Source organism: Homo sapiens, chromosome 1 (genome assembly GCF_000001405.40).
Source record: "Homo sapiens chromosome 1, GRCh38.p14 Primary Assembly".
Lineage (NCBI taxonomy): Eukaryota > Metazoa > Chordata > Mammalia > Primates > Hominidae > Homo > Homo sapiens.
Genome location: NC_000001.11, coordinates 112,085,534 through 112,102,144, shown reverse-complemented (window position 1 = coordinate 112,102,144; position 16,611 = coordinate 112,085,534). Strand labels below are relative to the sequence as shown.

The window sequence follows — 16,611 nt, the reverse complement described above, 5'->3', positions numbered from 1 at the left end:
TTGAGGTACTGAAAAGTTGTATTTACTTGAAGTCAGTCAACACTCAAGCAGAGATGGTTAACACAGTGATGACTGAAACTAGAGACAGGAGACAAGTTCTAAGAGAATCAAGTGGTATACAAAAGGTGCCTGCTACAGTCCACCCCTTGCACTACTCAAATATTCTTGTTCTCTCAAGTATGTCTGGTTCCCATTTTACAATATGGAGCTTCCATTTTTGTGATAACAAAATGGACTCAATTCTTCTCAGAGAAATCAGATACAAATACAATTGACCAAAGAGTCTTTTTCAAATTGGTGGCCATGTGCAACCTCTTAAAAATGAAAAGCAAGAGGGTTAGAGAAATAAGATACAATCCCTATAGCTAGCTATAGTTACAAACTGTAATTGATACTCATATCTCTCTCTTGCCGTATCTATTCTATCCAGACTTCTCTCAAATTTGGCCAACACTTCTGTTGGTCTGGACTGCTTGCCAGTTGAGGTAAGCCAGGATTTCATCCCCACAAAGTCTGAGCTGTTGTAGAGTTATGATTGCTGAAGCTGCCAATTTATTGTTATTACTCAGAAACATTAGAGATTTCCTAGTAAAATATTTTGAGTTTCCAACATATTTTCTGCCACCACCATCACCTCCTGCCCCTACAAGTAGAAGCAACTCTAGCTTCTCTTGGTAGGATTTACTTGTGATTACTCTCACAAGTTCAGGAATCCTATTATTTGTCTGCTGGTCCTTTGGCATAAGGATTTCAAAGTGAGTAAGTGGCAAAAATAATTTCAAGTTAATTGTAGCCCTTGTCATGTTCCTGAATGGAATCATACTCTACTGACACTTGAGAGAGAAAATCTCTAACTTGGTAGAACCTAGGACTACAGCATGGTTCACTGAGAATGGGGTTGTGAGGGTTAATCCTTTTTCCATCTCTTGGTTCCTGGATCCATGTATTCCAGCCTATTAGATTACAGGTCTATCTAGTGGCCTTTGATTTGACACACAGACCACATCCTGGAAGAGAGTGCTCCAAACTTGCAATTATTATCACCAAGCTGGAATTTTAGATGAGCCTTTAACAGGTTATTCCATCATTCTACGAGACTAGCATCTTTCCAGGTGGAGATGATGGGTAAGAGCAATAAATCCCATGGTCATATGCCCATTGTTACATCTCTTTTGTTGTAAAGTAAGTCCTTTGGTTTTATATGATGCCGCATGGGTTAATATATTGGTAAGTTAATATATTGATAAGTCAATTCCTTCTGAATAACCAGCACCGAGAGCTTATATAGAATTCAGAAGGAATTGACCAACAATAATGGTTTCCTGCCCCTCCAGAATGGCAAGAGTCCAATACAATTAATCCATAATCAAGTGTTTGCCTAATCTCTTTGAGGAATAGTAGCATATCAAGGGATCAGCACAGTGGCAGTCTACAGATCAGTCTTGGTGAATGGGAACCCATGACATCTATCCCTGCCACCATGTTCACTTTGTTAATTGGCTCATTGTACCAGGACTGGAGTGGCAGAAGAGAGGCTTGAGGACAATTACATGATGTAGCACCCATTTACCCAGTTGTGGATCGCCTTCTCTCTGGTGAATTTTCTTTGGAGGGTGTTAACTCAGACACAAAGATCTGCATACTTTATTCCCATTCCTTAGGCCTTCATCTCCCAGTTTTCTGATGTTACTCCTTTTCAACCCCAGAGTAATCAGATAAACCATTCACTAATGCCAAAGAGTCTGTGTGTCTACATGGATGGATAGAGATATATATGAAGAGGGGGGTGGGCGGAGATTTCAGGCCACTTTTCCTTCCATTCAAATGGATGAACAAGTGTGTTGCTCCTAGATCTGTCCTCTAGGATGATTTCTCTTCCCTGTCACATTTAGGGTCACCCCTGAAAGGGACTGCATTGTGGCATCAGTTCAGCAGTTCATTTTCAGTTAGCACCAATATATTCTGCTGAGTCATCTGTGAATCTGGCCTGAGTTTTTCTTCTTCCATCAGTTGGTCATGGGGAAACCCTCATGAGGCCATAGGTTTGCATGGAAGGATAGACATCAATGCAGCATACATTAATGACATGGAACTCTGGACCACATATCTATGTGATTTATTAATGCCTTTCGAGCCTAATTCAGTCTGATTCCAAAAATATAATTTCTTTGAGACAGTTGATTGTTGCTGTTCACTCAACTTTATGACTTGGTGGATCTGAAAATTTTCAGCTCATGATGGGTAGTTCAAGTCACATGATCACTTGGTATCCCATGGTCAGGCATTTAGTTTCTGCTAGGGAGTCGAGTAGCATACCAGGAGCTGTCTTTCAAATGGAAAGTAGTTCTTGTTGTAGAAGTTATAGTCTTTTTCCGGAACATTAGGTGCAATCTTATCCACCATGGGTAACTCAAACACCATCGAATATGGTGAGTCATATATCCCCAGTGGCAGGTAGATTATCCTGCTACTGGACTACTGCAGAGCTCTCTTTTGTTCTTGGCCCTATTTGAAACTGGCAGTCTTCTGAGTCATTAACATTTTGGTCAGAGCAATATTTCCTGGTGTGGTAAATTCTATCCCAAAATACAAAGTCTACCAGCATTGTGCCTTTTTCTCAATGGGAGAAGGTACAAAGTGCAGCAACTTGACCTTTTCCTTAGAGATAATGTTCTTGTGTGCCCCAAGCCACAGGACCCCTAAAACTTTACCAATGCATCAGACTTCTGAACATTCCTATGTTTTATCTCTCATCCTTTGATATGCATGTATCTTACGAGGGCGTCTAGAATGCTTGCCACTCCCTGCTCACTGAGTTCAGTTAGAAAGATATCATTAATAGCAGACCATAATGATAAGCTGTGGAATTCTAAGATGATCAAAATCCATGTGAACTATATTGTGACGGAGAGAGGGAAGGTTAACAAAGATCTAGAGAAAGATAATGAATGTATACTGCTGTTTCTGTCATATGCAGGTAACTACTTTTGATTCTCTTATCGATGGGGATTGAGAAATATGCATTTGCCAGCTCAGTGGCTGCATACCAGAGGCTGAGTTAGTTTGTCTTAATGAAGATATCACATCCAGCATAACTATGGTTGGGACTACCACTTCCTTAAGTTTATGTTAGTCCAGCATGAAATGAATCTTAATTCCTGGCTTGTCTGTTTGTTGGTTTTGCAGAGACCACACAGGTAAATTAAATGAAGATATAATCAGACCGTCACCCTTACATTTTTTAAGCCTTTGATAATCGTACTGACCTCTGCAATTTCTCCTGGGTTGTGCTTCTGAGTACTATTTTGGTCAGTGCAGAAAGTGGGGAGTTGATCAACTTCAGAGGATATCCACTTGGCTATCACTATCATACTGACCCTTACTTCACAGGTTAGAGGACCGATGTGAGGATTCTGCCAGCTATATCTATCCCAAATATATACTTGGAGACCAGGATATAATGGTAGAATGTGTCTGCAGACTCATTGAACCCATTGTAAGATGGATTAGAGCTAGGATTCTATTTACTACCTGGCCTCCATAAACTCCTTCTCTAACTTTAGGACTTTCAGGTCCCTTGGTCAGAACTTATATTACAAGGTGACAATTCTTAAAGTTATTGAAAAGTCAAGATATTCTCCTGGTTTTACACTGGCAAATGGCCACATGTCCCCATTGGGAAGGATCAGAAGAATATTTACCATTTATACTTGCAGTTGCATTGCAGGGTCCTTCCTAGAAGAAACTCTGTCTTCTCTCCAATCACTGGGTTCGAAGTCTATGTACTTCCTTAGATCAAGAAAATAAATGAGGGACTATGACTTTCCATTTTGATGGCTAAATTACTTTTTCTTTTTTATATACACAAGTCAAGAAACACCCTACATGACAGGATCATGTAGTATGCTGGAGCCAGTCTAGTGAACTGTGCATATCTCCTCAACTCAATGTCTAGTGAAGTCAGATTCGTACCTTTAAAAATGGTCATGATGAAAGTATTTACATCATGGAAACTGGCAAATGCTATAAATAAGGGTTGTCTTTCTTTTTTTCCAAAAGCTGGTTGTATCAAACCAGCTTTTTTTTCCAGAAGCTGGTTGTATCAAACTTATTGATACTAGGAATCCGAGTTACTTGGCAGCATCTCCCATCAGCAATTTTAACTTACTATTAAAAAAAGCAAAAGCTGTCCCTAAGCTTCTCAAAGACATGGTCAGGTGGTAGGTTCTCAGGTCTTGTATAGTACCTTGTTTCTAATATTCCTGCTTTCTTGAGCCCTGTGATCTCTCCTTCAATACCATACCAAAGAATTACCAAAATCTTCACCTAATTTACTATAGGCCATTATCTGTCCAAGGTTTAAGGAGTCACCCAAATAGATTATAAGAAGAAGCTGTAAGTATCCTTGCCAGGATATAGGTGAGATCTCCCATATTAAAAATATTTCCTATTTTACACTTATTCCTCCATTTGACTCCTTTTGACAAAGATTCATTTTGAGGGATATCAGAAGATTTTGAAGAGAATAGTCATTATCTCATAAAGCACCTACCTCAGGTGAAGTCATTACATGGTCTCCAGGCAAGAGAAGGATGTTCTTCCCTGTCAAGGGAGAAGGAACTGCTTTTACCAACTTTCAACGTTCAAGGGAATCTAAAAGTTCTCAGGCTTGTCCACCCATATGCCCCATTCTTGGTTTCACAAGCCCTCTCTTTTCCTATCCAAGCCTTGACTCAAACATAAGAGAGGGAAGGTTGTGCATATACTCTCTTGGAAGTTATAGCACCCTTACAATTAGACCGTGGGCTTGATTTTCAGCACTGTGTGTTCTGCAGCTTCAGGAGATGAGTCTCCTTAAAGCTGTCATAGAGAGCTTCTGGTTTTCACACTGTGCCTTGAGTTGGCAGTTAGTTTTCCTTAACTTATCATTTTCTTTAGTAAAGTCTTCCAATGCAGTTAACAAAGTCTAGCTCACTCCATATAATTTCAATGCTTCCATATTTTTCAAGTACCACAGCCATCACACATTTCAATAGTTCATCCTACACTTTCTCCAATTAACATCAGGTAAAAATTTAGTATTTTTATATCACTGTATGCCAGAATTATTACTACCCTTTTCACCAATAGCAATGAGGTACTTCTTGCCATCAGATTCTGGGTAATTCATCTCCAAAATCCCACCTTGAGATTTTACTTTCCAGGGCCATTCTTGATACCAACTGTCTTATCCTGGGTTCCCCAGAGTACAAGACTGCCAAAAAGACTTATGTGCTTTTACTTTATTAGGGAGTTCCATCCCAGGGAACAAGAATGATATCAAGAGGGTGAAGCAGGGACAAATTATGAGGATGTTTTATCAACTAGCAGCTGCTAACTGTGACGATTACTTGACTTCACAGGATAGTCCTCCGAGAAGTCATTTAAACTGCATCTTAGCAAGATTGTTTCAGGCAGAGAACTGAGGAACAATTTGCCGATTAATTTCGTTATGTAATGGTCAAAGATTTACCCCCAATTACACCCCGCCCACTTCCTGCCTCTCAGTCCTTTGTCTCTTCCAAAACTCAGAACGAAGTTTCTGTGTTTCATGTAAGTAGGTACCAAGCAGGGGCCAGAAATGTTCCATGCCTCAGTGTCAACAAGAAAGCCTTGAAGGAGGCAAGAGTTATGCAGCAAGGGCATGAGATAAAGCACTATCAGCCCGTGCCTATGTAAAGTCAGCTGGAACCCACATAAAGCTGGAAACCTCAGTAGCAGGTGAGGCAAGATATCGATGACTCCAAGAGAACCTGAAGTAGTGCATACGAATGTCTGACACAAGTAGGAAGACTAGACTGTAAGCTCCTTGAGGGTAGGAGCCACATCTTATTTATCTTGGAATCCCTAACATGATTCTTGGCACATAATTCTATTGATCAATAAATATCTGTTAATTTCAATTGGATGAGTGGTGTTAGGCTCAGAAATTGATACCCCAAAATATGGTGCTTAACTGAAGAAGATTAACATGCTTAACTGAAGAAGAAGCCTCAGTATCTCTCTGACACTTACATTTCCCACCTGCCCCCATTTTCTGTCTCTCAGCCTTTTGTCTCTCCCAAATCACAGGATGAGGTTGTTTCCTGAAGGTTCTTTATCTGCCTAAACTTGGGACCCACCAAAGAAGAAAACAATTATGTCTGGTCCCTTTCCTGAATTTTCAGTAACTGAACTCATAATACAGGAAGAAAGACTGAAGTCTATCAACAAATCTGGACAGACTTTTATCACAACAATTGTCTGGTCTGTGGGTCCAACAGACTTTGTCCCAATTCCATTGAATTCCCCTAAAAATCATTTACTATTCCTCTAAAATCATTTACACTTCCCCATTTCTCTTTCCCCTAAGAAGATGGTTATCTGTACCATCTTCATGTGTGGTGGGGTAATAACTCTGTGATTTCCCCTGTGAACACTAATAAATTTGTGTGCCATTTTTCCTATTAATCTGCCTTTTGTCAGTTGATTTTTCAGTGAACCTTCAGAAGTCAGACGGGAAGTTTTCCCTTGGCCCCTATAATTATTATTTTTTTCTTTTTACAGATGTAGAAACCAAGGCTCAGATGGGATAACCGACTTTTCCAAGTCCAACAGACAGTAAGGAAAGGAATGGCGAGATCAACTCAGATCTTCTCTTAGCCATGCTGAGGGTAATCGCCTTGCAATTACCTCTTCAATGGATATTCCTTGCAAGAATTAAAACTCTATTAGGCTTTTTCCAAGATAGCTCCTTCCAGAACTCAGTTCATCCAGGTCAAAAAAGCACTGGAAGGTAAATTGGCAACCACTCATCATATCACATGATGTTTTCCAAAATGTAAGACTGTCCCAATCAAAGGAGCTGGTAGCAAACATAATGAACGTCAGCTGAGACTCTATAAACCAAAAAAGCCCTGGGTTGACTGTGTTCATGTGACTTCAAAAGAGGGTAATCTGCAGGGGGTGTTCCTGCAGGGCCTACTTTGCACCCTTTGCTACCCTTTAGATACCATTTGACCTCATTTTCCTCTCTGTGTGATGGCCAAACCACAGGCTCCCTCTTCTATCTGGCCCCATGAGCATTAATCAACTTCAACCTTCCCCAAGACCTGGCAGGAGAGATGCAGTACCTACTTCTTAATAAACTCAAACTGTCATTGAAGATGAAAGATGAGACTGCAAAACTTCGAGCATCCCAACTCCCCAGCTTGCCAAGTGCTGGGAATCCGGAGGGGAGTGCCCTCGAGGACAGGTCTCTGTGGATGGTGCAGAAAAGTCAGCTAGCTGCCTTCTCTTTTTTCCCTTCTCTTTCTTCCCCTAAATGCTCCCTCAGTGATACCACTGTGTCTGCAGTAAAGAGAGACTGTCTAGCTGTTTCTTTTTCAGCAAGACAATTTGGTGTGTGGTCTGTGGTGCCCACACATTCTTCTTTGCAATGAGTGGTGGGTGAACAGTGTTTTCCAAGTTGGATGTTACAGTACCATAAGTAGAAACAGATCTCCCGGAGCTCCGAACACTTTTTCTGCCTGAGTTGGGAGGATCAGCAGGCTCCTGTGTAGATGGCCCAGCAGATTCCTTGGGAGCAGCTTTGCAGCATTTCCCCACTCACTGGCCCTCACCAATCATAATGAAAGCTCAATTAGGTGGTGGACTTCCACTTTTGTAACTGCCAGGTTAGTTATAGCATTACACGTTCATGCAAGATGAAGCTGAGATATTTGGAATCGGTACATGTAACTATTTAAATGACCGGGATGCTAACTGCTCTCTACACATTCCCACCCCCAAACCCCTTTCACCAAGCAGCTGGTACTAAGTACTGTTTACAGAGAGTTTTCAAAAGGCAAGTCACTGTGCTAAGCATTTTACAGATATTATTTCATTTCACCTTCACAACAATCCTATTTGATAGATTTTTTTTTATCAAGAAGGAGAAATTTGAAGCCTAGAGAGACTGAATGATTTGCATAAAGTCATGCAGTTAATGAGTGGCAACGTCAAACTTGAATTCAGGTCTGCAGATTCTGAATATCACTCTTCCCACAACTACAACCTTACCTTTTAGGCAAATTAATAAATAAGCAAGCATTTCCTGAGCACCTACTATACAAGAGGTTCTGTGCTAGGAACTTTCACATCCACCTAACAACAATCTTGATTTTTAGGGGAGGAAACTGAAGGCCTAGCTTGTTAGCACTGTCAGGGCCAACCCAGGATTTGATGTCTATTTAACTGTAAGATCATTCCCTCCCTTCCTTCCTTCCTTCTTCCTTCCTTCCTTCCTTCCTTCCTCCTTCCTTCCTTCCTTCCTTCCTCCTTCCTCCCTCCCTCATTCTGTCTCTCTCTGTTTCTTTTCAATTAATCATGTATCAATTCAGCTAAGGTTAGAATCTTATCTTTGCATTCATAAGAGATAATTTATACATTATGCCTACCTCAGTATTTGGCACACTGTATTTGGAGGCAGTTGAATCATGTTAATCTCTGCCCCCAAATCACCTAGATAAGTTTTTTATTGCTACTTCCCTCCCTGGTAAATAGAAAAGAGATGCTCTTTCCAGCTACCTGGTGAGAAGAAAGTCTGTCCAACTTGGCTCGTGTTTCCTCTACTTGGGGAGCTGTGCCCTGCAAATGGTATAGCCCAGCCCCTTCAGGGACACTTGGAAGAACTGATGGCATCATGTCAGGACTGAGGTCTCCTTTCTTGTAGTTTCTGAAGAATTAATGAAAAGGTAAACTTTGCAGGATCTCAACACACAGGCTTTGTTTTTCCCTTACTTCTTGTTTTGCAAAGAAAGGCCCCTGCTGGCCTTTTAAGCCCAAGGAAAACTTAACAAACACTTGCTGCAAAACACCTTGCTTTTTACCCTGCATCAAATAACCTCCCCCACTCCAGAGATTTGCGTTCCAATCTCTGCAAAGGAGCAGCGAGAGGAAGCAGGATATTGAGTCTCATTAAGTTTCTTTGCTGTGTCAGTCATCTTTCCCAGAGGGGGATGTAATATTCTCTTCATAATATTCAGCCCCTCTCACAAGTTGGCAGCTCCTTTCTCTCAACTTATATTCTTAGCTAAGAATGTGTTCACAGGGATTTTTTAAAAGCCTCCCCAAATACCTGTTTACTGACTTTCTCAGAGCGTTTCTGAGATGGCACAAGGATGTGTGGTCTCTGAAGTCAGCTTCTTCTTGCTAATGAGGCTCAGCTCAGCACCTCTCCCCAGCACTCCAGGCAGGGGTTGGGGGAGCCCGCTCTGCCCCTCTTCCTGTCCCCAGGGCAGACACTCATTCTCGGCTAAGTCCTGTCCCGGCTGGAACTGGTAGCATCTTTCAAGGCCTTGTCTCAGATGCCTTCCTGGGTTGGCTTCCCGGATCAGGACCCCACATGGGTCTCCACATTTGGCTTTAGAGTCTTGGCTTTGCCCTTCCCCCAGCTTTGGTACTGTTTTGTATGACTTTATTAAAAATGTTAAGAGATATTTTCTGGTATAAAAAATACCTGAGATTTTTCTGCTTTGACAAATGTTATGATGTCAAGTATTGGATCTAGTCTTGGGGTCTCCCCAGGAATAATAAAATATTATTATCTAATAATATTATAAGCTAATAATTAGCTTACATAGCTGTGGCACTATTCTAAGTGCTTTACTCATTTAATCCTATAATAATCCTAAAAAGTAGGCGCTGTTATGTACTTATTTTAAAGATGAGAAAACTGAGACAGAAAGAGATTAAACTACTTTCCCAATGCCAGATAAGCTAGGAAGTAGCAGAGCTAGAATTATTACCTGGTCATTCTCACATGTTTAAACTTGACATTAAACTTCCTGAGCAAGCGAGTCCCTGCAGATAAGCTGAGCAGTAGGCCTTGGAGAAGAAAGTCTCTGATTTGCTTTGTCTGAACTTTAGGGCCCCTATGTGGACCCCACTCCATCCCATCTGAACATTCTCATTTCCCCCCATTTCCCGTTGTGGAGATTCTGCTCCAGCCAAGAGAAATTTCTCCCTGTCCTCTATCACAACCACACCACTCCCTCTGCAATTCTGTGTTTATTCATCTGCCACCTCTTTCTCTGAATGCTTTCCCTTCTTCCTCCACCCCAATTGAAATATCACCTTGCTCTCCTTCCAAAATTATTCCTAAATCACCTAGCCCAGGACAACATTCTGGTCTTACCCAGTCCTGCCTATCTCCTAATTCAAATTTATTTGTGGCTGTGTTAGGGGGTGGGTGTGAGGCAAGTGGGGGTGCCAAGAAAGAGAACTTTTTAGGTGGGTGACACTGAAGACCATACTTCTAGAGAACCTTGGTCCAAGGTGAGGCATCCTCCTTAAAGTCCCAGGAGTCTGTTCTTCTATTATTCTATTCACTCTTGCCTTCTTCTATGAGCATGGCACTACATTAATATGGTGGGAATGCTAATACAATAAGATGCAGTCTTTTCCCTAAACATACTTGCAGGCTAGTGTTGGGTTGATAGTACATGTACATTACAGTGCAAGGAAGCAAGTCCCTAGTATCTCACTAGAGATATCAAGTGCAAGGGAACTGATATGGGGGAGATCACCTGGGTTAGGGGCAGGGAAGGAAGGTTTGGAGGGATGTATTCATTTTGAAGATAACATTTTTCAAGGCTAACAGACAGTATAAAAATGGCAATGCAAAAGCAATATTTGGGCTCGGATAAAGGAACCTGGGTGAGGTAAACAGGAGACAAAATGCTGAAAATGTACATTGTGGTCAAAATAGAAAGAACTTTACAGATTAGAGAGCATACTTGAGAATGAATAATAAGTGTTAGAGAATAAGGAGTCTGGATTTTATAGTGGGTGCAATGGGGAGACTTTGAAGGTTTTTAAGGTTGGGGGAAATGGTCAGAAGTAACTCCAATAGCCACATAGAGGAATTGAGGTATTAGGCATCTGTTGTACAGACCAACAGGCCTTTGTAATAAAGAAATCTAATCACAGGGATAATGGCCTAAGCAAAGGCAGTGGCAGTGAAACTGGACAGGAAAGACTTGCCATCTGATTGTATACAGAGAGGGAAGGAGTAAAGGCGAGTGCAGGACAGCAAGAGGAACAGGAAAATAGGGGGAAATGGAGATTTTTATAGATGAGGGTTTCAAAGAGACAATCTGTTGGGTTTGAGGTGTTTAAAGAACCTCCAGTGAAATCATTAGCACACAATTTGAAATTGTGGCAGAAGTTGGAGCAGCATTGGTCTATTGGTCCCTCATAGAGAGGAGTACTCTGGGCCATTAAGGATTTGGGTCTTTGCTGCTACCTCCCACCCCAGCCAAGGACTGATTTGCCTAAGGACAGATATTTCCTGATGTGCTTCTCATTCAGGAAAAAGCCCACTTGGTTCACAAGCACCACTATCTTGGGTTTCTGTCTCAGTTTAAATATTTATTTTTTCTTCTGTTGGAGCTCAGAAAATGATAACCCAAAGTGAAAGCCTCCAAGGCAAAGTTTTTTTCTTACCTTCTCCTGCCCTCCTGTCTCTCACCTCTCATCCTCCCCCATGGCAGCCATAGAAACTAGAATTTCTCTTCCCTAATGTGGGTCATAGAAATCAGAACCCCTTCCCCTTACCAAACCAGCCATAAAGCCTACAAATATTACTCTAACCTTCTCATTTCTTTCTGTGTAACAGCTGGTCATAAAGGAAGTAAGACCCTCATTCCAGAGGGGTCCTATCCCATACATGGGAAGAAGAAAGGCTATGACAGAGAGGCCAAGGAGAATCTGGACAGGCCTTGCTTGGTTTTCCACTCAGTCTATTACCATTAGATCATACCCTTTTTGTAAAATCACATTTCTAGACAACCATCCCTGCTTCATTGAACCTAAGCATACAGTCAGATAGCTACCCTGTGTCTTGGAGTCTTCATTCTGAAAGCTCCCATGTTATGTAAAACTATCATCAAATCAATTTGTTGTGCTTTTTTCTTGTTAACCTGTCCTTTGTTACAGGAGTGCTGGCCACGACCCTTGTGATGGGGAGGAAAGGGGGTGATCCCTTTCCGCCCTTACACTTCCCATGGTTAGCCTGACTTCTCTGCCAGGATTCTGAACCACAGGGAAAGAAGCCCTTATATGAAGATACTGATATCTACCAGGTCTTTCCTCCAGCTCCCATGCACACTGTTTTTCTTGATGTTACTCACAGAGTGGCTTTTCCAATGTATTAGAAATAAAATGCCTCCCTAGCTGCTCTCTACTCCTTTATTAACTCAATCCAGAATCCCTGCCCCTTCACCTGAAATGTTTAGAATTGGGAACATCTGTTTGCCTCTCCATTGACATTGCTGACTTTGATACTCATTGGAATGAGTGAGTTTTCCTTTTTGAGCTGCTGTCCCATAATAAAGTAAACATGGTATTGATTTTCCATGCATGTTCAGTTGGGAGTAAATCTTAAACAAATGTGCAACCTGCTGAGCACTCCTCACTCCTCCACCTTCCTACAAGAGTCCTTCCATGTTTTTGGCACTTTTGAGGAATGTCAATAAATTTTTCAGGGGTTAAGAAGAACCAGGGTGGAAAGAGAAGAGGAAGGATAGGAGGGAAAAAATGCACTGGTTTTCATTTTCAAAAACAATGATAAACATTTCAAAGATATTCATTATTCACAATGAATACCCACAGTTATTAGTTCTTTTGCTTCTCAATCCACAAGGGAAAAAAATCAGCCTAGTCCAAAAGCATTTACTGAGCATCTACTAGAAACCAGAAAAGTAAAGATTCAGGAGGCATAAAGATGAATAAGAGGCCAGGTGTGGTGGCTCCTGCCTGTAATCCCAGCACTTTGGGAGGCTGAGGCAGGCGGATCTCGAGGTCAGGAGATCAAGACCATCCTGGCTAACACGGTGAAACCCCGTTTCTACTAAAAAATACAAAAAAATTAGCTGGGCGTGGTGGCGGGCACCTGTAGTCCCAGCTACTTGGGAGGCTGAGGCAGGAGAATGACATGAACCCGGGAGGCGGAGCTTGCAGTGAGCCGAGATTGTGCCACTGCATTCCAGCCTGGGCAACAGAGCGAAGATGCTGTCAGAAAAAAAAAAAAAAAGAATAAGCTACAGACCTAGCCCATAAAAAGCAGAAAATCTCAGTCAGAAAGACAGATGTATAATAAAAAAGTAGGATTGTACAGAAAATAGTCCAAGTATGTACAAAGTTTAGGACCAGAACAATGACTCATCTCTCTAATATAATGGGGAGACCTCAGAGGTCCTTAGTAGGATTTTGTAAATAGAAAAGAGAAGTGAGATATAGAACATTGCAGACAGAGGATAGACAGGTGGAAAAGCATGAAACAGCAAGGTCCTTTTATAGGACTATGAGAAATCTTGTCTTGCTGAGGAAAAAGTGGAAATGAGTGCTTCAGGATGGGTGGAAGGACCAGGAAATCTTCAGGAGACATATGTAGGGCTAACGACGATTCTGTAAAGTGCCTTGTAGGCCACACTAAGGAGCTTGACTTTTATCCTGAATGTCAAAGGAAGGCAATGAGAGATTGTAAAAAGGAAACTAACTTTAAATTTGTACATTCTAGGAAGAAGATATGAGTTCAGTTTTTGATATGAGTTTGAAGTTCCTATCTAAATTAGTTAAATGTAGATATATCTAATTTAAACTATCCAATGGGGATATATTGGGTTGGAATCCAGGGGAAGCTGGAGTTGGGGAGGAGATACAGAGAGGGGAATCATTGCATAAGTGGTATTTGAGCCAGCATAGAAGATGAACTTCCCCAAGTTGAGTGCATGGAGTCAACAACAGCTCTGGACAGCACCCTGGGAAGCATCAGCATTCAAAAGGTGGACAGAGAAAGATAAGCCCATGAGAGAGATCAAGAATGTCCTCAGCATTGGAAGATGACAAAGATAGAATGGGGTCAGGAAAGTCAAGACACATTTCAAGGAGTGTGGTCATCAAAGCTGAATGTAGAGAGGTCAAGCAAATTTATGGACTGGAAAGGTCTCATACACTCAGGAAACATAAGAATTTTTCAATGAAAACAGCCTGAATGGATGGCTGGTAGGTGGAAGTCAGAATGAGGTAGGTTGAGAACTGAATGAAAATAAGAAAATTGAGGTAGCAATTGAAATCTTCTCTTTCTGGAAGCTGAACTGCAAAGAGAAGTGGGGAACACTGAATCAATGAAGTTTTTGTTTATTTTAAGGTACGAGAGACTTGAGCATGAGTGTGACTACAGGAAGAAGCCAGCCTTAAAAGAGAAGAGGAAGATATAAGAAAGAGAGGAGATAATTGAAGGAACAAGGTTCCTGGCCCCTGAGGAGGCAAGGGCCGGTTGGTTGGAATAAGATACAGAGCACAGAAGAAGGTGTGATCTTGGACAGGAGGAAAGACAGTGCTTCTTCCTTGGGAGGTAGGAAAGGGGTAAAGCTATTGGTAAGGTAACAGTTGTGAGACTGGAGGAAGAAGCAGGAAAGGAAATGAAACTGATCATCTTGAGGTTAACATGAGCTAATTGGGGGAAATCACATCACAACTTTTTGACTGGACATCCCTGTGATAGAAATCTCTATATACAACAAAAGCTTTCCAAGCTCTGGCTAATGGCCCATGTATATGACAAAGCCAAATACTGTGGTCAAAGAATGAGGATAATTCATAGAGGCAGTGTCAAGGAGACATTGCCAATAATGAAAAAGCACTCCAAAAAGGAAGTATAAATGATTTGCAAATTGTAGCTAGTCTTGTAATTACTGTGCAGGTAGATGTCCCTAACTCTGTATCTCCTGATTCTTCCCCAAGCTCTTGTATAGCTCACTTAAAAAATTAACACTAGTTGAACATACTATCTAAAGGGCCAATTGGGCACAGTCTGACACTCCCAAAGCAGGAGTTTTCTGTATCCTCCTGGGAACTGCACCAATTATAAGCCAGAGGGTGAAGTTAGTTTGAGTTTGCTGCCCTGAGCCTCCCTCTTTTGTCCTTTTTCCCTTCTTAGCAGGTAGATTCTTTTCTCTCCTCCAGGCACTCCACCTCCTAATCACTACTCTTCACCTGCCATGAAAACTGGCTTTCAGCATAGGATCTGAAATTACATTGGTCATTTACACCTTAATGTAATTCTAAGGAACTGTTTACTCTCTCCCAGAGGCATGGTTACACAAGTCTTCCATTTTAATTTTATTAAAGGCTTTGATCCCTCTTAGAAGGTGTTAGACACTCAGAATCTGGAGAGAGAGCACTTGTTATAACCTCCCAAATCTTCCAAAAGCAGGGCAGGACACACAGGCACTTTCTGAAGTGACAGCCCAGCAATGATCAGAGTCTTTGAGTATTTCTCTCTCTGGCATGCTGCTACTTTTCCTTCTTTGTAGTTCTTTGTTGATAGAAATGGATTTAAAATGGCATAAATTCTTGGAGACAAATAAAATTCATTGTTGGCAGAAATGCAGTCTCATCTTATTGCCTTCTCTCAAACCCTTATGACTATCCTTTTCTCCTGGCTTCCCTTAGTGAAGCCAGTGGCCTTTGCATAGTTCCAACCGTTTAACTGCTTCTGAGCACCTCTGGATGCCTGTATTGCAGGTGTTAGAGCAGCAGCTTTGTGGAGACCATTTTACTCAAGCTTCATCTTCAGGCAAACAGCTATGTCTTAGAAAAGTCCTGTTTCGCTAACCTTATTCCATTCATACTTCCATATCAAGGGACGAAAAATCAGAGCTGACATCATGTGGATTATTTATATGGATAAAATCCCACCAGGCTGCTCAGGATGTACAACAAGCACATGCTATTCTGCTATTCTGGCCCTAGGAAAACCAACTGCGGTTGACACAGTAGTCCGTTGCTCCTGAGAATGTGGTTCTTTTAAAAGTTTTCAGAGACTCCAAGGGGAAGGCCATAAAGTTTTGAGGGTCCAGCTCCTGGGATTGCTATGACCCAGCATCCCTAAAGTAAAGGTTTCACAAACACTAAAATCAACATCTAAAATAGGATCTTGGTTAGACAGATACCTTATTTCATTCCCGAGTAAGACTTGTCTCTCTGTCCTTGAAGGGAACTTTAGCACTAGGGCAGCCAAGAATGGTGGGGCACCTGCCCTAAAGTGTGGGACCTCAGAGGAAGAAACTTACACAGCAAACAAACGTTTTCTGGATATTTTTTCCTGCTTATAAAAGTGATACGTACCCACTGAGGAAGTTTGGAAAATAAAAAAGACATGAAGAAGAAAATTAAAATTACTCATCATTCCATCTACCCATATCATTCTCATGTATTTTCTTTGAGCCTTTTGTATATTTTACAAAATGGAAGCTTACCACATATACAATTTTATATTTTGATTTTTGCACTTTACATTAGGGCTATAACAAGTTTGATGATAAAATCTCAAACTCACCAGGTTTTAAACATGGAATGCTTTTACTTTTACAATATTTCCCGATTACTGTGCCATGTCAAATCCATCTCTCTCTCACTGGGGAAAAGAGATTCTTGACAACACTATCCAGTTCCATAGCTTTCAGTCACATTCAGTTATTAAGGTGGCATTGTTTTGGTTTTAAGCTTAGTCTTTCATATTTAAAACATTTAATTTTGTATTTAATT

General features: G+C 41.2%; 1 long non-coding RNA gene across 1 annotated transcript; it reads left to right on the top strand.

Moving 5' to 3' along the window:
* The first annotated feature begins 6,593 nt into the window (after nt 1-6,593).
* On the top strand, nt 6,594-15,450 carry LOC124904319 (uncharacterized). The gene is made up of 2 exons (XR_007066407.1): nt 6,594-7,694; nt 14,210-15,450. It is a non-coding gene; the product is annotated as an uncharacterized LOC124904319 (long non-coding RNA).
* Nucleotides 15,451-16,611: the final 1,161 nt, after the last annotated feature.